Source organism: Homo sapiens, chromosome 5 (assembly GCF_000001405.40).
Source record: "Homo sapiens chromosome 5, GRCh38.p14 Primary Assembly".
NCBI classification, from domain to species: domain Eukaryota; kingdom Metazoa; phylum Chordata; class Mammalia; order Primates; family Hominidae; genus Homo; species Homo sapiens.
The window spans coordinates 57,173,018-57,197,722 of NC_000005.10; the positions used below are offsets into that span (position 1 = coordinate 57,173,018).

Here is a 24,705-nt window from a genome sequence, read left to right on the forward strand (position 1 = left end):
ACAACTTTGAACACGGTAATACTGATTTTTAAAAATCTCGAATGGGCTCTGTGGTTCTGATACTCTGGCTGTTGAAATAATTCACCTACTGCAGATTTAGTAGAAAGAAAAATAATTAGCATGATTATACCTAGTAGCCATTTCTACCCTCTTGAGAGTCTGGGCTTGGCTCCCCGCACGTCTGCTTTCCTCAGCCGCAGGGCTCCCGCGTTCTCATGCCTGACACAGTCCGCGTTCGCATGCCACGGTGGAGCATCCCCTCAGCGTGCCCTACCGCTCCGGCGCCGGCTCGGCAGATGTTCCGCCTGCGCAGAGCTGAGCATAGGCGCCGTGTGAGCGCCGATTCACCCAGGCCCGAGCGCGAGGCCCAAGCGGGGTACCCGGCGAAGGGCGTGCGCCGCAGCGTCTTCCGCAGCTTGAAGCTCGGAGGAGCTGCGGCGCAGCTTCGGGAGCTTAGAGCTGGGGAAGACGCTGCGGCGCGCGCCACTCGAGCCTGCGCGGCCGCTTCCCGGCGCAGCACCCCCCTCTCGCCCTCTGCGCAGCCCCACCAGCCCGGACTCCGAGGCAGCCCCGGACGGGGGGAGGTGCGGGAGGAGGGGCTCCTCAGGGAGCGGCGGGGAATTCCCCCTTCCACCGAACGTTCCCGATTGTTCACCGTCCTCACGTCAGCAGCAGGGGGTAATCCCCGACTCCAGCTGCTCCTGACGTCACCGCGTGGAGCCACCGCCCCCCGCGCGCCCCTGCTCCGGGGCCTCCTCGAAGCCCCGCCCCCAGCCTTAGCCACGCCTTCTCCCCCTCCCCCCAGGCGCCCGACGTAGAGGGCGGAGCTTCTTTGACCGCGGCGTGAGCGGTTGCTTGGGCCAGAAGGTTCTCTGGTGGAGGCGCTCTTCCTGGTGTCCCGCCCAGTAGGTTCGTTCGCACCGCTTCTTCCACACTCTTTCTCCCTCCTTCTCCTCGCCCCGCCTTCCCTCCCTCCTCAATCCCTCTAGTTCCTTCCCCGCCTCGCCACTGTGCACGATCTCGCGAGACTTGGCCCAGAACATTGCGGATCGGGTCGGCGCCATTTTGGGACTGAGACTGGTTGTGGGGGAGGGAAAAGCGGCAAAAGGGGATTATTCAAAGTACCGAAAACCTTCTCCCGGGATCAGGCGCGGCGGCACCCCCAGGCCAGGGGCACCTCTGGTGGGGCAGAAGGTAACACCGTCCTCTAGGCTCCACGCCCGAGCCCGGGGGAGGAGGGGAGTGCCCGTGTCCGTGTTGGGGTTTGAGGGGTCGGGAGCGGCGTTGGTGGCGCGAGGTGTGAGGCTGCCCGCCGACGGAGGGGCGGCGAGAAGCAAGGAGTGAGAGGGGGGAGAGGCGCAGATAGGCCCCTCTAGGTATTGACTCGGCCCGGGTGGAGCGGAGGTGGTGGTTGTGAGGAGGGGGTGGGTGGTTTAGCCCCGGCGGCTTGGTTGGGGGGTGTTTGGCGTTTGGCGGAGGCTGGGAGCGAGTCCGACGCTCTCAGTGCTCGGCCTTCCTTCCCCCGGCCTCTTGCACACGCCCGCCTGGTTTTGCACCACTACCCTTCTCAGGGCTGAGGGAGTCGAGGCCGAGTTGTGGCCTTCGGCGGTTTCTTCAGCAGCGCCTCAGCTTTCCCCGCCTCTCCCAGGTCCGTGGCACTTGCCGTGGACTGGGGCGAAGGCTACTTTGTTCCTTTGAGTCCTGTGGGGTCTGAGGGGACATGTGCATTTTTGAGAGAGAACCATTCTTTGGTTTACGAAAAGGGCCCTGTACCTTCCACCCCCTCAGTTTTGGGAGAAACCTGTTTTCTTAATTCGAGGAAGTGGAAACCTACACCTTCTAGCCCTTTGCTCCCTCAGAAGTGGGGAAGTCTCCTCGGGAGAATTTAAGAAGCGGGTTTGCCCTACTTCTAGTTCACCTTTCTGGCCTTACTGGGTGGGAATATGCCTCCTCTAGTAGACGTTCTGATTTGGAGGGAGCCTCTTTCTCTTTACACTTATCTCTGAGTTACATTCGCTAATACTCCGTGGCAGCACACCTGTCTTCGCTTTCCTTGGTCCATCGAAGAGGGTTGGAGATCTTTTGTAAGATTATGTGTCAATTTCATAGTTTTAAAATTTATTCAAGAAGTATAAGAAGGTTTGCTTATATAATTCCCCAGTATGGGATCTGCACCCCTTCCCAGGTGAAATCTGCCCTTGCCCTCCATAATACCGTCACCTACCGTTTTTCCCTCCCTCTACTCCGATGTCTTGTTCATTCAGTAGACTTTTATCGGGTGCTTGCTTGGGTAAAGAAGCCCTTTTCCAGGCTCCTGTAGGGTTATATAGAAGTGATTTTCTCTCCAGAGGTTGACTTTTTAAGTTGGGGATTGATTTTTTTAGCTCAAAATCAAAACTCAGTATATAATTTTTTTTATAACTTTTACAGGTGATTGAATTACTCAGATATGAAGATCATCATCTAGGTTTTGTGTAAAAGGCCCTGGATATTTTAAGTGGCCATTTTGGATTTACAGTGTTTTTGGATAATTTTGCCCCAGAAGTTTATTAAAATTGGCAAGAATCGTCTGTGAAGTGAATTGATAGTAGTGAACAATTCAGCAAGCTACTTAAAAAGAGACCCAGGCAGCATTTCTTCAGTATTTTGGTTCAAACGGATTATATAACTGGTTACAGTATTTCAGCTGGTGGTAATTTTTGCCTCCCCTTCCCCCACCCCGTTGTTGGGGTTCTTCAGCCGAAACTGAGAGACGTTGATTTGTGTACTGAGTAGTTTCAGCAGTTTCAAATGACTGAGTATTGCTGAAGTTTCATGGCAGTTTATTTTTACCTTTATTGAAAGTTTTAGGAATTTTTGACTTCAGCTCTTTCATGTCACAATGGGACACTTTTTCTGAATGAAGAGATTGAAAGAATACAGAGTTTTTTTCCTTTTATCTTTTATTTACGTGGAAATTTAAGATGTTGCAGTTTTCCGGCAGCATGGTAGTATTGAGATAGCTATGTGTGTCTCTGTATATGCTGATGTTTAGGAATGCTCTTCAGATGTGAAATTTTCTTTTTGTTTTTGCTTTTTGGCTCGTAAATTGGATATTTCATCTGGAGTGGACAAGTACAACAGTGGCAAGTACATGGAATAATAAAGAAGACTTTGATCTTAAATCTAAAGAACTTGGCTAATTCGGGAGATAGCCATATGAAAACTTTAAAACAGAAGTATGGGTAGCTGACTTGAAGTAACTCTATGTCAAATAGTCGTAGGTTAAGTATCTTCAAAGAACTTCGATATTATTTCAGAGGATACAAAATAAAAATACAAACTGGAAAATAAAGATTACAGAGAAAAAACCAACACCTTCCTGTGCAGTCCTGTTGGAATTTGTAAGTACTATTATGGTGAGCAAATCAAATGTTCATTTGTAAACTGTAATCAGAGTTGAGTTTATCCTATGTTATTCTCGGAAGCCTTTCAGTTTCTTGCAGTAACATTGCTTGGTTTCAGTTTCCTTGACAGTCTGAAAACAACTATTAACCATTGTCTGAGTAAACTGAAATTCAGAAAAAACGTTTAAGGCTTAGGAACTTTTCAGATTCAAACAGTCCTAAGCTACAAGTTTTTGCGCTTTTTAAGTAAAAAGCTAAATTCGTATGGCCGGTATATATTGCCTTAGGCTTTGAAGATTCATTCACAGTGGTAGAAAGGTAGGAAAAAATGCAACAAATAATTCACCACGTGTCTTCCTAGCCAGTTTGTATTCTAAATGCGTGTGCCTTGGTAGCCAGTTGACTTTGCAAATGTGAGTTTAGACTGCATTCCAAATGCAGTTTAGTGTTGCATTTGGAGTTACATAGTTTGGTTATATTACAGGTAGTAGTTCTTAATGTATTTCATGAACTAGCTTGGTTTAAGGCATAGTTGTTCCTAACATATTAATCCGTTATAGAAATTAAGTTTTTGAAATAGTTTTGTTGAAATGGTTTTGTATTTCAAATTATTTCTTTACTTTCAAAAAAAGAGGGTATTACCAGGACCAGAAGCTCAGAGGAACTGAGCAAGCTGAATTAAGAACCTTTAAAATAACTTAAGAAAATATGAGTATACATTTTTTTTTCCACTCAAGAGGTTATGCTGGCCTAAGTTTGTAAGCAAAGCTTTTTTTTAAAAAAAGTTGTGAATTAATTGCTATAATAGAAATTGTTTTGACAGGTGAGAGAGTTATCGTTTAATGTTTGTATTTTTCAGGATTAAACGGTGTTTTTAGTTACCGTTAGTTACTACATTTAATTTTTCGGTGAATCATAGGCATTTAATGTTTTTTAAAGAGATACACTAAAATTTAATTTTTTTTTCTCTTTGACTAATGACAAAATTTAATTTTTAGGCAGTTAATATTAGTGAACACGAGTATAACTAAAATTAGAGGGTATTTCAATTAATTGTCTTTCTGAGACGAAAGACTAATTTTTATTTGAGACCGAGTTTCGCTCTTGTTGCCCAGGATGGAGTACAATGGCATGATTTTGGCTCACTGCAGCCTCCGCCTCCCGGGTTCAAGCGATTCTCCTGCTTCAGCCTCCCAAGTAGCTGGGATTACAGGTGCCCGCCACCACGCTCGGCCAATTTTTGCCTTTTTTTTTTTTTTTTTTTTTTTTTTTTTTAGTAGAGACCTGGGTTTTCACCTTGTTGGTCAGGCTAGCCTCGAACTCTTGACCTCAGGTGATCCTTGCGCCTTGGCTTCCCAAAGTGCTGGGATTATAGGCCTGAGCCCACGCGCCCGGCTGAGATTGCAATTTTTGAACTCTTTACCAAGATGGCCTAACATCATAACTTGTCAGTTGCTTATTTTGAACCAATTTTTTTTTTGCTTAAACTGTTGAATCCTGCTAGCTCCCATAGAGTGAAAGTGGTAGTAAATGTAAAATAGAGTTTTTTTTCTCTGAAATTGATATTAGAGAGTTCAGTGTTTCCCTTTGTTATAATAGACTAGGTTATATGTGTTTTCTCTGTCAGACCTGTGTGTAGTAATTCTAATTGAGTGTCTACCTTGATTTATAAAATCGGTGAGAACATTCCACACCCTTTCACTTGGGAGAGCATGTATTTTGTTCATTCCTCAATTCAATGACTTTTCAAGTTGCTTAACAATATGCATCTTAAATAAGATTAAGTTGAACTGGAGTCAAACGATCATTCTTCTAGAAAACTACATAATATTTATTATTTGTGATTTTTTCTTTTTTTGAGACGGACTCTTGCTCTGTCGCGTGCCCAGGCTAGAGTGCAGTGGCGCAGTCTCGGCTCACTGCAACCTCCGCCTCCTGGGTTCAAGCGATTCTGCCTCAGCCTCGCCAGTAGCTTGGATTACAGGTGCCCGCCACCACGCCCAGCTAATTTTTTGTATTTTTAGTAGGGACAGGGTTTTACCGTGTTGGTCAGGCTGGCCTTGAACTCCTGACCTCAGATGATTCACCTGCCTCCACTTCCCAAAGTGCTGGGATTACAGGCCTGAGCCACTGCGTCCAGCCTTGTTTTCTTCTAAATTGCCATTACTGATATTGTTAATCTAAGCAGTAGTGTTAGGATAAAGATTACTCCAGAGATCAGAGTTTTTAGCAATTAACTTTAATCTGTGAATAGTCTATAACATTTGTCAACTTTGCGTACAGCAGTTCTTCAAGGACAGATTTACTTGAACGTTTTGACAGATATTTTCAGTATTTTATTTTTCTGGAGATTGGAATAAATAGTTGCATCCGTTGGTAATTGGAACTATTGCTGGACGCTGCTTTTCCCCAGAAGTTAACACCACTTTTCCTTTTATCTTTTCTACTCTTTATATTTTGCTTTTTTGTCCCTTTCTAAACTGTAGGTCTAAAAATAATAATCATAGTGGCTAACATTTATAGATGATGATGGTTTTTTTGCTGTGTAATTTATGTGGCATATTTTAATTAATTCTTAATCCCGTGAGGAAAGTACTATTATAGTCACTGTGGTACTGATGAGAAAATTAGGATTTAGGGGGGCTGAGACTGGGAGAAAGTTACTTTGTTAGAATTGTAATCTTGACCAAATAAATGTTCAAGCAGTCTGACTCCAGAGCACATACTCAGCACTATGCCATACTTACACTGCCTTCTTGGGGATTTTACTTTACTAATTCATTTATTTGAACATTATCTTTGATATTTTTTTCTTTTCATGTACTGCTTCTCTTTGGTTGATGTTGATTACAGACTGCTAATGGAGTTTGGAAATAAACTAAGAGATATTACTGTTTTGCTATTTGCAGTAACTATTTGGGTGATACCTTTGGTTAGCTAAAATTGTGTGTGTGTGTGTGTTTGAGACAGGGTCTCGCTCTCTCACCCAGATTGGAGTGTAATGGCACGATTGTAGCTCAGGCAACCTCGAACTCCTGGGGTTAAGGGTTCCTCCTGCCTTGGCCTCTCAAAGTGCTGGGATTACAGGCCTAAACCACAGTGCCTGGCCTTGTATTTTTCTTTCACCCATAGCCTGTTTCCACAGGCATGGAGCTAAATGCATAGCTTTGTTTTACCTTGTCTTTTTTTTGTTGTTTTTTTGGGTTTTTTTGAGACAGAGTTTCGCAGTTGTTGCTGAGGGTGGAGTGCAATGGCGTGATCTTGGCTCACTGCAACCTCTGCCTCCCCGGTTCAAGCGATTCTCCTGCCCCTTCAGCCTCTTGAGTAGCTGGGATTACCCGCATGTGCCACCAGGCCTGGCTAATATTGTATTTTTAGAAGACGGGATTTCACCACGTTGGTCAGGCTGTTCTCAAACTCCTAACTTCAGATGTCTGTCCACCTCTGCCTCCCAATATGCTGGGATTATGGGTGAGAGCCACTGGGCCCGGCCCCTTGTCTCTGTTTTTGAATTGAAATAGTTACATGGATTTTTGTGCTTGAAGCTGCTGATATGTTAAAATTGAGGAAGGGAGGAGTAATGGGGAAAGAACAGGAAGAGTGAGCAGGAAAAAAAAAACTGGGGAGAGTTACAAGAAAGGGGTAATTGAGGAGGACTTCTAATCTGAAAGTAAAATAAGCAAGTGAGGATAGAGTTTAAAACCAGGCCAGATTATTTAACTTTTTTTTCTGAGACGGAGTTTTGCTGTCACCCAGGCTGGAAAGCAGTGGCACAATCTCTGCTCACTGTGACATCCGCATCCCGGGTTCAAGTGATTCTTATGCCTCAGCCTCCCAAGTAGCTGAGGTTACAGGTCCCCGCTGCCATGCCCAGCTAATTTTTTGTATTTTTTGTAGAGATGGGGTTTTGTCATGTTGGCCAGGCTGGTCTCGAACTCCTGACCTCAGGTCAGATGATCACCTGCCTCAGCCTCCCAAAGTGCTGGGATTATAGGCGTGAGCCACTGCACCTGGTCAGATTATTTAACTTTGTTTAACCAAACCATCTTTTCTGTTTCTTTTTTGATAAAAATGTTTATCAAATGTTTAGGTAACAACGTTTAGATCTATCAATGTTTAGGTAACGTTTAGATCCAGGTAAGGTACTGATGTAGAAAAAGGGTCATGGCTGAGGGTTTGGAAGGGAACTTGGTTTAGGATATGGAATATCTAGAAAAATGCCTGTGTGACTGTATGTTCACCTAACTTTTTTTGGCCTTAGTTTCTTCATTATACTGATGGAAATATATATGGAGGGTTTTTGTAAATTGTGAAGTGTAATACAGATGTAAAGATTTTTTTGGGGTTTTTTGTTTTGAGACAGAGTCTCGCTCTGTCACTCATGCTGGAGTGCAATGGCACAATCTCAGTTCATTGCAACCTCCGCCTCCCAGGTCCAAGCGATTTTCCTGCCTCAGCCTCTCAAGTAGCTGGGATTACAGGTGCCCACCACCACGCCCAGCTAATTTTTGAATTTTTAGTAGAGATGGGGTTTCCCCATGTTGGTCAGGCTGGTCTCCAACTCCTGATCTCAGGTGATCCACCCACCTCAACAAATTTAAATATGGCTTTAAAATATAGTTTGAAAACTGAATTAAGAATTAAAGGGGGCCAGGTGCAGTGGCTCATGCCTGTAATCCCAACAGTTTGGGAGGCCAAGGCAGGAGGAACACTTGAGATTAGGAGTTCGAGACTAGCCTGAGAAACATAACAAGACTGTCTCTCTACAAAACATAAAAAAAATTAGCTGAGCATGGTGACATGCGCCTGTAGTCCTAGCTACTTGGAAGGCTGAGGCAGGAGGACTGCTTGAGCCTAGGAAGTCGAGATGGCAGTGAGCGGTGATTGCACCACTGCACTCCAGCCTGGGTTGCAGAGTGACACCCTGCCTCAAAAATGAATAAGAATTAAAGAGATGAGGCCGGATGCCTCGGTATTTTTGGCGCTGCGATCGCGACACTGCACTCCAGCTTGGGGTGACAAGACTGTGTCAAAAAAAAAAAAAAGAACCTCTGACATACAAAATACTATTTAAAAAAGGGGTGAGGGGGCAGGGCATGGTGGCTTATGCCTATTATCCTAATACTTTGGGAGCCTGAGGCACGAGGCTCACTGGAGCCCAGGAGTTTGAAACCAGCCTAGGGAACATTTAAAAAAAAGGTGGGGGGGCGGTGCGGGGGCAGGGAATACATCTCTTTTCAAACTCCTGACCTCAGGTGTTCTACCCACCTCGGCCTCCCAAAGTGCTGGAATTACAGGTGTGAGCCACCATGCCAGGCCGAGACAGTGGTTTCTGAGAATTCTTTGAAATTGATAATTTTGTGGGCATTTCAGTGCATTTTTCTGGAAAGGTCCATTACCTTCAACAGAAATGTTGAAAAACAAAATGTTAGTGGTTACTGGTAAACTGTTTTGTGGTTGTGACTGTTTTTCAGTTTTTACCTGCTTGCTTTTCCCATTTTGTCAGCTGTCCCACCCATCACAATAGTTAACAGATTTGCTGTATAACCCTGCAGATAATTGCTAGTTTCTGCATCTTTTTATATACAAGATATGTCATTTAGTTTCTTGGTCTTTAGTTATTATTTTGTTCACAGCTTGGTGGGTGCAGTGCTTTTGGTCTTTCCATTTTCTTCCCTTTAATTATTTTATAAATTTTTTGAGACGGAGTCTCCCTCTTGCCCAGGCTGGAGTGCAGTGGCATGATCTTGGCTCACTGCAACCTCCACCTCCCAGGCTCAAGTGCTGCTTCTGCCTCAGCCTCCCTAGTAGCTGAGATTACAGGCACCTGCCATCAGGCCTGGCTAAGTTTTGTATTTTTAGTAGAGATGGGGTTTCACCATGTTGACCAGGCTGGTCTTGAACTCCTGACCTGAAGTGATCTGCCCACCTCAGCCTCCCAAAGTGCTGGGATTATAGCCATGAGCTTCTGTGCCTGGCCTTTTTTTGAGATGGAGTCTCACTCTGTCGCCCAGGCTGGGGTGCAGTGGTGCGATCTCGGTTCACTGCAACCTCCAACTCCCGGGTTCAAGTGATTCTCCTGCCTCAGCCTCCCGAGTAGCTGGGATTATAGGCGCCTGGCACCATACTTAGCTAATTTTTGTATTTTTAGTAGAGATGAGGTTTCACCATGTTGGCCAGGCTGGTCTTGAACTCCTGACCTCGTGATCCACCTGCCTCAGCCTCCCAAAGTGCTGGGATTACAGGCGTGAGCCACCGCACTCGGCTTCTTCTCTTTAATTCTTATTTATTTATTTTTGAGACAAAGTGTCACTCTGCCACCCAGGCTGGAGTGCAGTGGTGCAGTCACGGCTCACTGCCATCTCGACCTCCTAGGCTCAAGCAGTCCTCCTGCCTCAGCCTCCCAAGTAGCTGGGACTATAGGCGCATGTCACCATGCTCGGCTAATTTTTTTTATTTTGTAGAGAGAGAGTCTTGTTATGTTTCCCAGGCTAGTCTCGAACTCCTAATCTCAAGTGTTCCTCCTGCCTTGGCCTCCCAAACTGTTGGGATTACAGGCATGAGCCACTGCGTCTGGCCCCCTTTAATTCTTAATTCAGTTTTCAAATTATATTTTAAAGCCATATTTCAATTTTTTTCCTACACTTTTCATGCAAGAATAAGTTTTTAAAACTCTTAGTTGCCAGGCATGGTGGCTCATGCCTGTAATCCCAGCACTTTGGGAGGCTGAAGCGGGTGGATCACCTGAGGTCAGGAGTTCAAGACCAGCCTGACCAACATGGCGAAACCCCGTCTCTAATAAAAATACAAAAAATTAGCTGGGCGTGGTGGCACATGCCTGTAATCCCAGCTACTTGAGAGGCTGAGGCAGGAGAGTCGCTTGAACCCAGGAGGCAGAGGTTGCAGTGAGCCGAGATCATGCCATTGCACTCCAGCCTGGGTGACAAGAGTAAAAACTCTGTCTCTAAATAAATAAAAACATACATACATACAAACATATGTACAACTCTTAAGTTATCCTTTCTCCGAAACTGAGAATCTGGGCTTGGCTTGTGGCTCACGCCTGTAATCCAGCACAGGAAATTTAGAAATTAGCCCAGGTCAGTAGTGCGCCTTGTAGTCCCAGCTACTTGGGAGGCTGAGGTGGGAGGGTCACTTGAGTCCTGGAATTTAAGATGTCAGTGAGCTATGATTGTATCACTGCACTGTAGCCTATGCACCAAACAAGAACCGCCCCCCCATCTCAAAAAAAGAATTACGATGAAAGTGTAGTATAAGGGAAATACTAGTCTATGTTTTTGTATTAAAATTAACATTTCAAGAGTTGATAGCTAATATTTTTTAATACGGGGGGGATATGAATTTTTTTTTTTTTTTTTTGTTTTGGAGACAGGGTCTCACTCTATCACCCAGGCTGGAGGGCAGTGGTGCCATCACAGTTTGCTGCAGCCTCGACCTCCCAGACACAGGTGATCCTTTCTTTCACATCAGCCTTCTAAGTAGCTGGGACCACAGGTGAGTGCTGCCATGTCCAGCGAATTTTTTATTTTTTGTAGAGATGGGCTTCTGCCATGTCTCAGAATTTTGGTAGGCTGAGGCTGGTGGATCGCTTGAACCCAGGAATTTGAGACCAGCCTGGCCAACATGGTGAAACCCTGTCTTTACTAAAAATACAAAAATTAGCCGGGCGTGGTGGTGCATACCTGTAATCCCAGCTACTTGGGAGGCTGAGGCAGGAGAATCACTTGAACCTGGGAGATGGAGGTTGCAGTGAGCCGAGATCGTGCCACTGCAGTCCAACCTGGGTGACAGATTGAGACACTGTCTCAAAGGGAAAAAAAATTAGGTTTATTGGGGTGTAATGTACATAACTTTGTTAGTCTGTTTTTGTGTTGCTTTGAAGAAACACCTGAGACTGGATAATTTATAGAGAAAAATGGTTTTATTGGCTCTTGGTTCAGCAGGCTGTGTAGGAATCTTGGTAGTGGCATCTGCTTGGCTTCTGGTGAGGCCTCAGGGAGCTTACAATAATGGCATAACTGGAGCAGGCATGTCACATGGCAAGAGGGAGCAAGAGTGAGGTGAGGGGGGAGGTGCCACACACTCTTTAAACAGCTCTCTGGTGAACTATCAGCAAGAACTCATCACCAAGGGGTTGGTGCTAAGCCCTTCAGGAGGGATCCGCTTGCACAGTTCAACACCTGGCACTAGGTGCCGCCTTCAACATTGGGGATCACATTGGATATCTCATGGGACAGACATCCAAACTGCATCAATGACAAGAAAATTCTTTAAAGTGTATACAGTTGTGTAACTGCAGAATCAGAATATAGAATATTTTCATCACCCCAAAAAGTTACCTTGTGTCCTCACCCATCATCGTCAGTCCCTGTAAAGTCCCAGTCTGTTTAGTATCGATGTCCTTTCCTATTGGGTATTTTCCGGAATGTCAAAGGAATTATACAGTGGATTAGCCTTTCATGCATGTTGTTTCATGTATTATAGTTGATGTTTTTATTTCATTTTATTTATTAACTCCCTGTGGGGACATCTTAGTTGATTTTTATTATTGCTAAATAGTATTCTCTTGTGTGGTTATACCACAATTTGTTTATCAGTTCTCTCGTTCAGAGACATTTTGTTTGTTTCCAGTTTTTGACTGTTGCAAATAAAGTGAATAGGAACACTTGTGCATAGGACTTGGTGTGGACTTAAGTTTTCATTTCTCATATGAAAATCCCTAGCAGAACTGCCCGGGTCATGTGAATTGTGTGCCTTCCCACCAGCAATGGGTGTTAGTTGTTATCACCAGCCCTCTTTAAAATTTGTTTTTGGCAACCATCTTTGGTTAGGTCTTTTTTTTTTTTTTTTTTTAAAGACAGAGTTTTGCTGTTGTTGCCCAGGCTGGGGTGCAATGGGGCAATCTCGGCTCACTGCAACCTCCGCCTACCGGGTTTAAGTGATTCTCCTGTCTCAGCGTCTGAGTAGCTGGGATTACAGGCACATGCCACAATGCCCGGCTAATTTTTGAATTTTTGTATTTTTAGTAGAAACGGGGTTTCATCATATTGGTCAGGTTGGTCTGGAACTCCTGACCTCAGATGATCCACCCCCTTCAGCCTCCTGCAGTGCTGGGATTACAGGCGTGAGCCACTACGCCTGGCTAGTTATGTCTTTTAAATTTTAACCCTTGTGTATAGTTGGAATTAGCATTATGTCTTTAATTTGCATTTCCCTAATAATGATAGCATCTTTCCGTGTGTTTTGGTGAAGTGTCTGTTCAAATATTTTGCCTGTTTAAAAAAAAAACTGGGGCCTGAGCACGGTGCCTCATGTCTGTAATGCCAGCACTTTGGGAGGCCGAGGTGGGCAGATCGCTTGAGCCCAGGAGTTCGAGACCAGCCTGGGCAACATGATGAAAACCTGTCTTTACAAAAAGTATAAAAGTAAGCCTGGCACAGTGGCGTGCCCCCTGCAGTCCCACCTACTGCAGAGGCTTGAGCCCAGGAGGTAGAGGTTGCAGCCTGGACGATGAGAGTGAACCTTGTCTTAAAAAAAAAAAGGCAAAAAAATTGGGTTGTCTTAACGAATTGTGAGAATTCTTCATGTATTTTGGATACATGTTTTGCAAATAATTTCTCTCAGACTGTGGTTTGTTTTCATTTTCTTGATACAGTGTCTTTTGAAGAGCAAAAATTTTAAGTACTGAAATAAAATGCCTGGTGGCTCATGCCTTTAATCTCAGTACTTTAGGAGGCTGAGGCTGGAGAATCCTTTTACGCTGGAAGTTCAAGACCAGCCTGGGCAACATACTAAGACGCCTATTCTCCAAAAAATTTAAATTAAGTGGGCATGGTGGCATACCTCAGCTACTTGAGAGACCAAGGTGGCAGGTTTGCTTGAACCCAGGAGTTCAAGGCTGTAGTGAGCTATGATTGTGGCACTGCACTCTGGTCTGGGTGACAGAGCGGGACCTTGCCTCTTTAAAAAAAAAAAAAAATTTTTTTTTCTTTCATGGTTTGTGCTTTTGTGTCCTAAGAAATCATTGCCTAACCCAAGGTCATAGAGTTTTCTCCTGTCTTGTAGAAGTTGTGTAATTTCGTTCTTATCTTTTAGGTCTTTGATTCATTTTGAATTTTTTGCATGTGGTGCGATAAAAAGATGTTCACTTTTTGGGGGGTGGGGTACACAGGGTCTCACTCTGTCACCCAGGCTGGAGTGCAGTGGCGTAATTAACAGGTCTCTGCAGCTTTGACTTCTTGGGCTGGAATGATCCTCCTAATCCTTTTGAGTAGTTGAGACTACAGGTATGTGCCACCACACCTGGCTGATTTTTAAATTTTTTTGTGTGGAAACAGAGTCTCACTGTGTTGCCCAGAGTGGTCTCAAATTACTGGACTCATGGGATCCTCCTGCGTTGGCCTCCCAAAGTATTGGGATTACAGGCGAGAGCCGCTGTGACCACCCCTATTTTTTTTTTTCCATGTAAATGTCCAGTTGTGCAAGTTTCATTTGTTGAAAAGATTGTTTCCCATTGAATCACCTTGAAATTTCTGTGATGAAAATCAAATTATGTGTGTCTATTTCTGGACTCAGAGAAGTGTGTGTGTGTGTGTGTGTGTGTGTGTGTGTGTGTATGTATGTTTGTATGTATTATGCTAATTCTATGGAATGCTAGTCCATAAATAAAATAGTATTTGATTTTTTTTTCTGCTTTAACATTGGATGTCTTACATTTTCTAAAATATTTTATAGGAAATTTGGAGCAACAGGGAAATTGTTTTTGTGGGTGTGTGAAGTAAGACCTGTTGCAAAATAACGTCATCTTGAATTCGTATGTCAATCTTCTTTTAAGTGGCTTGAAATGTTAGATATCTAATTCATACTTGAGCATACTTAGAAAATGACAACATTTCTATACTGGAAATGAGAAAGTAGGATGTAAAAGTATCAACTTATTTACTATGATATATTATCTCAACAGTGGATTTGGGACTCTTCTCTCTTGAGTGCTAATTATGTGCTAGAGATTTCCTTTGCCTCAGGAAATGTTTGAGTGCCTATGGTATCGTTGGTGCTGGGGATTTTCTAGTGAACAAGGCAAAAATGTAAGATTCCTCTGTCCGTGAAGTTTGCTGTGAAGTTCTATGAATACAGAATAAAAAGAGTCCTTGAATTTGAATTATGGTTTCATGCCATCTGTTACATTATATAATAGCTATGTGATATTGGCCAACATAGTCTTTATGACTTAATTCTTGCTCTATAAAATAGTGCCTCACAGAGTTGTTGTTATTAAAGTCAAGTGAAATAATGAATGCTAAATGCTTTGAAATTGTAAAATAATACAGACAGTGGTGTTGTGGCTGGTCACAGGTGATAGTGGTTGAAGACCATATCATATGATCAACCAGGAGGGAGAGATTATGAATTGGAGGACATAGGTAAGTATAAATTGAAGGGACAGAAGAAGCAGAAACCAGATATATATATATATATGTATAATGTATTTGTGTATATATAATATATATGTATATATGACATTTAAAATTATCGAGGCTGGGCTTGGTGGCTCATGCCTGTAATCTCAGCACTTTGGGAGGCTGAGGTGGGTGGATCACTTGAGGTCAGGAGTTTGAGACCAGCCTGGTCAACATAGTGAAACCCCATCTCTACCAAAAAATACAAAAATTAACTGGGCATGATTGTGCACGCCTGTAGTCCCAGCTACACAGGAGGCTAAGGCAAGAGAATCGCTTGATCTCAGGAAGTGGAAGTTGCAGTGAGCTGAGATCGCACCACTGCACTCTAGGCTGGGCGACAGAATGAGAGACTGTCTCAAAAAAAAAAAAATGGTTGAAGCACATGCATTCCACTCTTGGGATAATACTTGTGTAATTTGTGGTATGATACCATAGCTTTAAAAGGTATATTTATGCAAATGATCTCAAGTTTAAATTTCCAGTTCAGATCTTCTCTCCATATTCCAGGCTTATAGCTTAACTGCCGTCTTGACTTCTCTACCTGTAAAATTTAACGTTCAGTGCTACACTCAGGCTGGACATGGAGGCTCACGCCTGTAATCCCAGCATTTTGGAAAGCTGAGGCAGGTGGATTGCTCGGGAGTTTGCGACCAGCCTGGGCAGCATGGTGAAATCCTGTCTCTACTTAAAAAAAAAAAATGCAGAAATTAGCTGGGCATGGTATTGGGTGCCTGTAATCCCAGCTACTCGGGAGGCTGAGGCATGAGAATTGCTTAAACACGTCAGGCAGAGGTTGTAGTGAGCCGAGATCGTGGCACTGCACTCCAGCCTGGGCGACAGAGCGAGACATTGTCTCAAAAAAAATAAAAGGCAAGCTACAGTCTTACTTCCTAGCCCCATACTCTCTCTATTCTTTCTCATCTCAGTATGGCTCCACCAGCTACCTATTTATTCAGGCTAAAACACGTGGGAATCATCTTTGGCTTTCTTCTTTCCCCCCATCTAATCCATTAGCAAATTATGTGTTCTACCTTCAAAATCTCCTAAATGTATTCATTAATATCCCACTGCTACTAGACTTGTACAAGCCTCTTTCTGTCTGTCTGTCTGTCTGTCTTTCTTTGCGACGAAGTTTCACTCTTGTTGCCTAGGCTGGAGTATAGTGGTGTGATCTTGGCTCACTGCAACCTCTGCCTCCCAAGTAGCTGGGATTACAGGCATGCACCACCATACCCGGCTAATTTTTTTTTTGGAAGACAGTCTCGCTCTGTCCCCCAGGCTGGAATGTATTGCCACTATCTCAGTTCACTGCAACTTCCACTTTCCAGTTCAGGTCATTCTCATGCCTCAGTCTACTGAGTAGCTGGGATTACAGGTGCCTGCCACCGTGCCCAGCTAATTTTTGTATTTTTAGTAGAGACGGGGCTTTGTCATGTTGGCCAGGCTGGTCTTGACCTCCTGACTTCAGGTGATCTGCCCACCTAGGCCTCCCAAAGTGTTGGGATTATAGGCGTGAGCCACCATGCCCAGCCCAGCTAATTTTGTATTTTTAGTAGAGACAGGGTTTTACTATGTTGGACAGGCAGGTCTCGAACTCCTGGCCTGTGGTGATCCACCCACCTTGGCCTCCCAAAGTGCTGGGATTACAGGCCTGAGCCACTGCGCTCAGCCCACTTTTTTTCACTTGAACTACTGTGGTAGCCTTTTAACTTTATTCCTGTACCATTGTGTACTCTATTTCATTATTCACAGAGCAGTGATCCTTTAAAAATGATATTCGATTGTGTCATTATTGTGCTTAAAACCCTTTAATGTCTTTCCATTGGATCTAAAAATAGCATGCATACTCTATAGCCTGCAAGGATCTGCATTGTTTATTTGTTCCCTCTCCTTGTCTGGAACCTTGCTTACTGTCTTACTGGCCCATTGGCCTTCTTTCTCTTACCTGAACACGAGACATTTTTCTTTATATTTGTTCCCTCTTCTCTGTTCTTCCCTTGTCAGCTCAATTTTAGCTCAAACCTAACTTTCTCTGAGATTCTCTAACCATTTTGTGTAAAGTGGGCCACTCTATTCAATACTTTGATTTCTCTTATTATTCTATATTATTTCACTTAAAGCACAGCTTATAATTATCTTGTTTACCCTGTGCCCGTCTTTATCACATAAGCTCTTTGAGAGCAGGGACCTTGTCTCATTTGTTTACTGTTGTAGTCTCAGTGCACTTATTTGCACAGTAAAAGAACTATTAACATCTATAAATAATTTAGCCTTACTTTTTTTTAGGGGGGGGATTGGGTGTATATGGTTGTTTTTATTATAGAGCTATTTTTAACTGCTTGGGGACTAGGTGGAATTTGTTATTGGATTATAGGAGGGTTGATTTGTTGTCATGTCATTTAGAAGCTGTTTTATCAGCTGGGCGTGGTGGCTCATACCTGTAATCCCAGCACTTTGGGAGGCCGAGGCAGGTGGATCACCTGAGGTCAGGAGTTCAAGACCAGCCTGGCCAACACGGTGAAACCCCATCTCTACTAAAAGTATAAAAATTAGCCGAGCGTGTTGGCACGCACCTGTAATCTCAATTACTGGGAGGCTGAGGCGGGAGAACCACTTGAACCCAGGAGGTGGAGGTTGCAGTGAGCTGAGATCACGCCACTGCACTCCAGCCTGGGTGACAGAGCAAGACTCCATCTCAGTTAAAAAAAAAAAAAGAAAAAAGCTATTTTATGTGTCTAGAATTAAATAAATTGTTATATGAGCTTTTTGTCTGCTAGATTCAAGACTGGCTTTGGATTTGCTGTTAGCTTTTTTTTTTTTTTTTTTTTTTTTTTTTCCTGAGACAAGGTCTTGCTCTGTCACCCAGGCTAGAGTGTGCTCCATTATCACAGCTCACTGCAGCCTTGACCTCCTGGGCTCAAGCAATCTTCCGGCCTCAGCCTTCTGAGTAGCTGGGACTACAGGTACATACCACCATGTCTGGCTAATTTTTGTATTTTTTGGTAGAGACGGGGTTTTGCCATGTTGCCTAGAACTCTAGGCAAAACATGTTGCCTTGAACTCTAGGTAAAACATGTTGTCTTGAACTCTAGGCAAAACATATTGTCTTGAACTCTGGGGTTCAAGTGATCTGCCCGCCTTGGCCTCCCCAAGTGCTGGGGTTACAGGTGTGAGCCATTGTGCCTGGCTCCTCTTAGCTGTTTTTTTCTTTTCTTTTTTTTTTAAGGCATTCTCCGTCACCCAGGCTGGAGTGCAGTGGCACAACCTTGGCTTACTGCAACCTCTGCCTCCTTGGTTCAAGTGATTCTTGTGCCTCAGCTCCCAAGTAGCTGGAATTAACAGGCGCTTGCCATCATGACCAGCTAATTCAGCTAATTTTTGTATTTTTAGTAGAGGCAGGTTTCGCCATGTTGGCCAGGCTGGTCTTGAACTCCGGACCTTAAGTGATCCATCTGCTTCTGCTGTCCAAAGTGCTTGAATTACAGGTGTGAGCCGCCGTGCCTGGCCTTGCTCTTAGCTTTTTGAAGGGACTGCCTCATCTCATAAAGATTTGTTTACTGTGACCCTTGCCTTTAAAAATTTCCCCAATTTTGAACTGTTGAGTCAGAAGCCTTGAAACCTAGGTAATTTTTGCTCTCAGGTTCAAAGAAACAAAATACATTTATCTTTAGGTTTTTTTTTTTTTTGTTTGTTTGAGACCGAGTGTCACTCTATCACCAGGCTGGAGTGCAGTGGTGCGATCTCAGCTCACTGCAACCTCCGCCTCCTGGGTTCAAGTGATTCTCCTGCCTCAGCCTCCCGAGTAGCTGGGACTACAGATGCGCATCACCACACCCAGCTAATTTTTGTATTTTTAGTAGAGACGAGGTTTCACTGTGTTGGCCAGGATGGTCTCAATCTCTTGACCTCATGATCCGCCCACCTCTGCCTCCCAAAGTGCTGGGATTACAGGCGTGAGCCACCACGCCGGCCTGTCTAGGTTTTAAGGAGTGGCTTTGAAATATATGAGCAGAATTTAAGACTTATCATTTTTCAGAGATGAGACCATGATAGTTCATTTGTAGTGTGTCTTTGAGGAGGATACTAATGCAGATAAATATCCACAGAGCTTTAATTATTTTTGGTGTTACAAAGTTTATCTGTGTGATCTTGTTTTCCTTCTATGTAAGAAAAACATGTTATATAGATCCCTTGCAAGGACGTTATTTACTGAAGCTCTTAGAAGGATGCTAAACTTGAGGCTGTTTCAGGTGAGTATCCTCAGGAGAGTGTTGAAATTGTTTCTGGAACACTGGCTAGGTTGAAAACTACTTGAAAAATGCACTTACCTGAGCTGGGTGCCTTAATTTTTTTCTTTTAACTTGACTGGTAGTTTCACATTTCTATTAAGTACTTCCTGTTAAGTACTTCTGAGTACTTAATTTGCTGAGAGGACAGTAGTCTGTTTGGGGATAGCGCTAGATTGCAGTGGTAGCTCAAATTGCTCATCTTTTACCTGTCTAGGTGATTGAGACCTGTATTTTGTACTTTTTGACACAGCAGTAGTGTAAGACAGTGCCTGAGTAAAACTTAAAATTTAGGAGTTGGCTGGGCACGGTGGCTCACGCCTGTAATCCCAGCACTTTGGGAGGCTGAGGTAGGTGGATCACCTGAGGTCAGGAGTTCGAGACCAGCCTGACCAACATGGAGAAACTCCGTCTCTACTAAAAATACAAAATTAGCCTGGCGTGATGGTGAATGGCTGTAATCCCAGCTACTCAGGAGGCTGAGGCAGGAGAATCGCTTGAACCTGGGAGGCGGAGGTTGCGGTGAGCTGCGATCACGCCATTGCACTCCGGTCTGGGCAACGAGAGCGGAACTCCGTCTCAAAAAAAAAAAAAAAAAAAAATTAGGAGTTACTTACATGTCTATTACGAAGGCTAATGTTTTGTGTTAGATAAGATCTCTGTCTGATGTATCCTATGTTACTTACAGTATGTATATGTATCCAGAGCAGTTAAGAGTTTCAGCTACTATTTGACCTTGGGAACTTTAAAATGGACTTCACGTTTATATAAACACTTATTTTTCTTGTTTTGAAAAGAAGGTAACATCAACCTCCTGGAGATGGGATGAGGACTAAATGAGATGAATGTTAAAGAAACTGTTGGCCGGGCACGGTGACTCATGTCTGTAATCCCAGCACTTTGGGACGCCAAGGCGAGTGGATCACCTAAGGTCAGGAGTTGAAGACCAGCCTGGCCAACATGGTGAAACCCTGTCTCGACTAAAAATACAAAAATTAGCTGGGCATGGTGGTGGGTGCCTGTAATCCCAGATACTCAGGAGGCTGAGGCAGGAGAATTGCTTGAACTGGGAGGCCGAGGTTGCAGTGAGCCGAGATCGAGCCCTTGTGCTCTCGCCTGGGTGACAAGAGTGAAACTCCATCTCAAAAAGAAACTGCCTAGGCCGAGTGCCGTGGCTTACTCCTGTAATCCAGCACTTTGGGAAGTCGAGGTAGGAGATCACTTGAGTTCAGGAATTTGAGACCAGCTTGGGCAACATGATGAAACCCCATCTCCACAAAAAAATACAAAAACGACCTGGGCATGGTGACTTGCGCCTGTAGTCCCACCTGCTTGCGGGGCTGAGGTGGGAAGATCGCTTGAGCCCAGGAGGTGGAGGTTGCAGTGAGCCAAGATCATGCCACTGCACTCAAGCTTGGGCAATAGAATGAGACCCTGTCTCAAAAAAAAAAAAAAAAAAAAAAACTATGAAAAGTATTCTGTCTTTGTTAGTGCTATCTGGTTCGTAGGATTAGGCGTGTTTAAAAAATTAAATTGTTGGAACTTGTTTCCTGTGCTTGGGATGATTGGTCTTTAGCCTAACTCAGTTTCAGAAAAAAAATGGATTAAGAGTTTAAGGATTTGAAAAAAACAAAACAGTTTATTCAGGAAACAGTAAAATTGAGTCAGACTAAAAAAGATTTAAAATTGTTTTGAATTTATGCACACAAATTACAAAAGGTGTACCACAAGAGGTTTAGAGGAAAGTCACCCCTTTAATCCTGTTTCTTAGCAGTTCCCCTCTGCGGAAACCACTGTTAGTTTCTTATGTATTTTAGAGATGTATATAAAACCACATTCTTTTGCTTTCTAATACAAGTAGTAGCATCATGTCTACCCTGCTCTACAGTCTTTTTTTACTTAATGAACTTAGAACATTATTCCATATTAGTATGTGTAAAGTTACCTCATTCTTTTTATTGGCTGCATGCTAGTATAACTAGACCTCTATTGATGTATATTAGCCTGTTTCTTGTTTTTGTTTCTTTTTTGCTATTATGAGTAGCGCTAGTGAATAGTTCTCGTAAATATAAGGCAAATTCCTGTAAGTGAATTTCTGAGTGTAATTTGAGATAATGCCCAGTTGTTCTCCATAGAGGTGTACCAATGTATATTTCTAGTGCTAATGAGGTGTATCAGACCTTTTTGTTTGGCATTTTTGCCTTGTGTAAAAAATATATATATATTTCTACTTATGGATGAATAATAGTTACACATATTTAAGGAGCACATATTTTGATAAAAGCATACAGTGTGTAATGATCAAATCAGGGTAGTGGGAATATCACTTCAAGCATTCATAATTTTCTATATTAGGAACATTCCAACTCCATTTTAGTTATCTTGAAATATATAATTATTGTTAACTGTAGTTGCCCTGTTGTGCTACCAAATACTAGATCTTATTCCTTCTATTTTTGTACCAACTAACCTCCCGCTCTTTATCTCCCCAACCTTCCCACTCCCCAGCCTCTAGTAACCATTATTCTCCTCTACCTGTGAGTTGATTTTGACCTCCCACATAAGAGAATGTGGCAGTATTTGTTTTTCTGTGCCTGGGTTATTTCATTTAACATACTGTCCTCTGGTTCCATCCTTGTTGTTGCAAACGACAGGATTTTGTTCTTTTTTATGACTGAATAATATTCCATAGCCATATACATACCATGTTTTCTGTATCCATTCATTCGTTGATTGGCAGTAAGGTTGATTCCATATCTTGGCTGTTGTGAATATTACTGCAGTAAACATAGGAATACAGATATCTTTTCCATATACTGATTTCCTTTGTTTTGGATATATACCCAGCAGTGGGCTTGCTGGATCATATGGCAGCTCTGATTTTAGGTTTTTAAGGATGGGTTTTTTTTTTGCAATGAGAATAAAAATTTTCCATGTATAAGATCAGTGTCTTTGAACTTTGTTTATATCCTTTGCCCATTTTTCTATTGAGTTCTTTTTTCTTTTTGAGACAGGGTTTATTGCCCAGGCTAGAGTGCAGTGGCATGATCACAGCTCACTGCAGCTTTGATCTCCCGGGCTCAAGTGGTCCTCCCATGTCAGCCTCTTCAGTAGCTGGGACTAGAGGCACATGACATCATGCCTGGCTAATTTCTTGTATATTTTGTGGAGATGGAGTCTTCCTATTTTGCCCAGGCTGGTCTCCAGGTCCTGGGCATAAATGGTCTTTCTGCCTTGACTTCCCAAAGTGTACCACGTCTGGCCTAGAAATTTTATTCTTAACATTTTGTTTAATTAATTACTTTCTAATTCTAGGAAGTTGATTAGCCTGGGACATGCAAATTATAAAGCCTATTTTGTTGTAGTTAGCGAAGTTGTAGTTTTAAAACTGAATTCTGTACCATAATGTAGATGAAAAAAGACTGGAGTAAGATGTATTTGCTTGTATTTGAAGCCATTAGGAGCTAGCTGTGATGACTTAGGCACAACCTCTTTAAGCCCGAAGGTTTTTTATTTGCGAAATGAATATTAAAATACGTTTTTCGGCTGGGCGCAGTGGCTCGTGAGCGCCTGTAATCCCAACACTTTGGGAGGCTGAGGCAGGCGGATCACCTGAGGTCAGGAGTTCATGACCCTCCTGGCCAATGTGATGAAACCCCGTCTCTACTAAAAATACAAAAATTACCTGGGCGTGGTGGCATGCGCCTGTAGTCCCAGCTACTCTGGAGGCTGAGGCAGAAGAATCACCTGAACTAGAGAGGCGGAGATTGTAGTGAGCTGAGATCGTGACAGAGTGAAACTCCATCTCAAAAAAAAAAAAAAAAAAAAAAAAAATTTTTTTTTTTTGTTTGCAAGGGTTGAGATATGTAAAAGTCAATATGATATCTGCACATAGGCTCTCAGTATTTCCTTTTCCATATGATGGTTACTTCTTGTCAGTGTTTTCTATCTCTGCCTACCTACTTTCAGTTTTTAAAGTCGAGATTTATTGTTTTATTTTCTTAATATTTTGTAGAGCCAAGGACTCTCTTTTTGGCCAGGCTGGTCTCGAAGTCCTGGCCTCAAGTGATCCTCCTGTCTTAACTTCCCCAGAAGTGCTGAGATTACAGGTATAAGCCACCATGCCTGGCCTCAGAGTCAAGACTTCTTTCGACTGTTCTTTACTGATGTGGAGTTTCAACACCAAGTAACCAGTTATGGAATTAATTTGTTATCAAATTGATAGTAGAGAAATTTAATCTGGTGGATTTCACATTTGGTAATTTCAGGATAAGCATTACCTTAGTGCACCTTTGTTTTCCACCTGTTTTGTGTTGTGTAGCATCAGATGCTATAAATGGCAAATAACCACTGAACAAATTTGCTTTCATGGTGCTAAAAGGACCAGGATTTAAATAAAATTGTCATCATCTATTTATTTATTTATTTATTTTTGGAGACAAGGTCTCGCTCTGTCTTCCAGGCTGGAGTGATAAAGTGGAACAATCAGGGCTCACTGCAACCTCGACTTGCTGGGCTCAAGCCATTGTCCTGCCTCAGCCCCCCAAGTAGCTGGGACCACAGGTGTGTGCCACCATGCCTGGCTAATTGTTTTGAATTTTATTTTATTATCATTATTATTATTTTTGAGATGGAGTCTTGCTGTGTTGCCCAGGCTGGAGTTCAGTGGCACGATCTTGGCTCACTGTAACCTCTGCCTCCTGGGTTCATGCGATTCTCCCGCCTCAGCTTTCCAAGTAGCCGGGATTACAGGAGTACACCACCATACCTGGCTAATTTTTTTATTTTTAGTAGAGATGGGATTTCACCATGTTGGCCAGGCTGGTCTTGAACTCCTGGCCTCAAGTGATTCGCCTGCCTCAGCCTCCCACAGTGCTGGGATATAGGCGTGAGCCACCACGCCCGACCTGTTTTGAATTTTAGTAGAGACAGCGTTTCACTATGTTGCCCAGGCTGATCTTAAATTCCTGACCTCAAGTGATCCTCCTGCCTGGCCATCACATCTAGCCCATTTTTTTTTAAAAAAGTAATTTATATAGTAGTTTACAGTTACAAGGCTTTCCTACACATTGTCCTCCTCCATTTGAGGAGAAGAATCATTATAGAATCTTTATTTCCATGCTCAGAGCAGGAACTCTCCTCAAGCAGTCCCTAGGCTTCCCAAAATTGTAAAAGAATATCATTTTGCTTTTTTTTTTTTTTTTTGGACAGTCTCGCTCCGTCGCTCATGCTGGAGTGTGCATTGGTGCGATCTTAGCTCACTGCAACCTCCGCCTCCTGGTTCAAGCAGTTCTCCTGCCTCAGCCTCCCAAGTAGCTGGGATTACAGGTGCCTGCCACCATGCCCAGCTAAGTTTTTGTATTTTTAGTAGAGATGGGGTTTTGCCATGTTGGCCAGGCTGGTCTAGAACTCCTGACCTCAGGTGATCCACCCACGTCAGCCTCTCAAAGTGCTGGGATTACAGGCGGGAGCCATTGCGCCTGGCCTGCTTCAATTTTTTTTGCTTGATGTCATGTTTTTCTTCATTTGCCAGGCAGGTGTTGTTTTCTT

The 24,705-nt window shown here is 43.4% G+C and overlaps 1 protein-coding gene across 4 annotated transcripts in view, besides 10 other annotated features; it reads left to right on the forward strand.

The window, feature by feature from the left end:
- Positions 347-934: an enhancer, noted in NCBI's record as "NANOG-H3K27ac-H3K4me1 hESC enhancer chr5:56469191-56469778 (GRCh37/hg19 assembly coordinates)". NCBI's record gives its function as "activates a minimal SCP1, AML or CMV promoter by ChIP-STARR-seq in naive H9 embryonic stem cells {active_cell/tissue: H9 hESC(naive)}" and the evidence as "EXISTENCE:reporter gene assay evidence [ECO:0000049][PMID:30033119]".
- Positions 347-1,131: a biological region, named in NCBI's record as "Sharpr-MPRA regulatory region 13785".
- Positions 382-711: a silencer, noted in NCBI's record as "silent region_16030". NCBI's record gives its function as "represses an Ori minimal core promoter by ATAC-STARR-seq in GM12878 lymphoblastoid cells {active_cell/tissue: GM12878}" and the evidence as "EXISTENCE:reporter gene assay evidence [ECO:0000049][PMID:35858748]".
- Positions 752-861: a silencer, noted in NCBI's record as "silent region_16031". NCBI's record gives its function as "represses an Ori minimal core promoter by ATAC-STARR-seq in GM12878 lymphoblastoid cells {active_cell/tissue: GM12878}" and the evidence as "EXISTENCE:reporter gene assay evidence [ECO:0000049][PMID:35858748]".
- Positions 805-1,099: an enhancer, noted in NCBI's record as "tiled region #13785; HepG2 Activating DNase unmatched - State 1:Tss, and K562 Activating DNase unmatched - State 1:Tss". NCBI's record gives its function as "activates a minimal TATA promoter and a strong SV40 promoter by Sharpr-MPRA in HepG2 and K562 cells {active_cell/tissue: HepG2 | K562}" and the evidence as "EXISTENCE:reporter gene assay evidence [ECO:0000049][PMID:27701403]".
- Positions 1,022-1,131: an enhancer, noted in NCBI's record as "active region_22578". NCBI's record gives its function as "activates an Ori minimal core promoter by ATAC-STARR-seq in GM12878 lymphoblastoid cells {active_cell/tissue: GM12878}" and the evidence as "EXISTENCE:reporter gene assay evidence [ECO:0000049][PMID:35858748]".
- The window catches only part of GPBP1 (GC-rich promoter binding protein 1), a 90,621-nt gene continuing 66,957 nt past the window's right edge, over positions 1,042-24,705 (forward strand). For 2 of the 4 annotated variants that reach the window (NM_022913.4, NM_001203246.2), the window contains exons 1-2: positions 1,042-1,194; positions 2,431-3,383. The gene's annotated coding sequence lies outside the window, so the exon portion shown is untranslated. Of the gene's footprint in view, positions 1,195-2,430; positions 3,399-24,705 lie in introns of those variants that run through there. The other 2 variants (NM_001331037.2, NM_001127235.2) reach the window with 2 other exon arrangements.
- Positions 1,465-1,759: a silencer, noted in NCBI's record as "tiled region #13834; K562 Repressive non-DNase unmatched - State 1:Tss". NCBI's record gives its function as "represses a minimal TATA promoter and a strong SV40 promoter by Sharpr-MPRA in K562 cells {active_cell/tissue: K562}" and the evidence as "EXISTENCE:reporter gene assay evidence [ECO:0000049][PMID:27701403]".
- Positions 1,572-1,711: an enhancer, noted in NCBI's record as "active region_22579". NCBI's record gives its function as "activates an Ori minimal core promoter by ATAC-STARR-seq in GM12878 lymphoblastoid cells {active_cell/tissue: GM12878}" and the evidence as "EXISTENCE:reporter gene assay evidence [ECO:0000049][PMID:35858748]".
- Positions 2,810-2,859: an enhancer, noted in NCBI's record as "active region_22580". NCBI's record gives its function as "activates an Ori minimal core promoter by ATAC-STARR-seq in GM12878 lymphoblastoid cells {active_cell/tissue: GM12878}" and the evidence as "EXISTENCE:reporter gene assay evidence [ECO:0000049][PMID:35858748]".
- Positions 6,766-6,885: an enhancer, noted in NCBI's record as "active region_22581". NCBI's record gives its function as "activates an Ori minimal core promoter by ATAC-STARR-seq in GM12878 lymphoblastoid cells {active_cell/tissue: GM12878}" and the evidence as "EXISTENCE:reporter gene assay evidence [ECO:0000049][PMID:35858748]".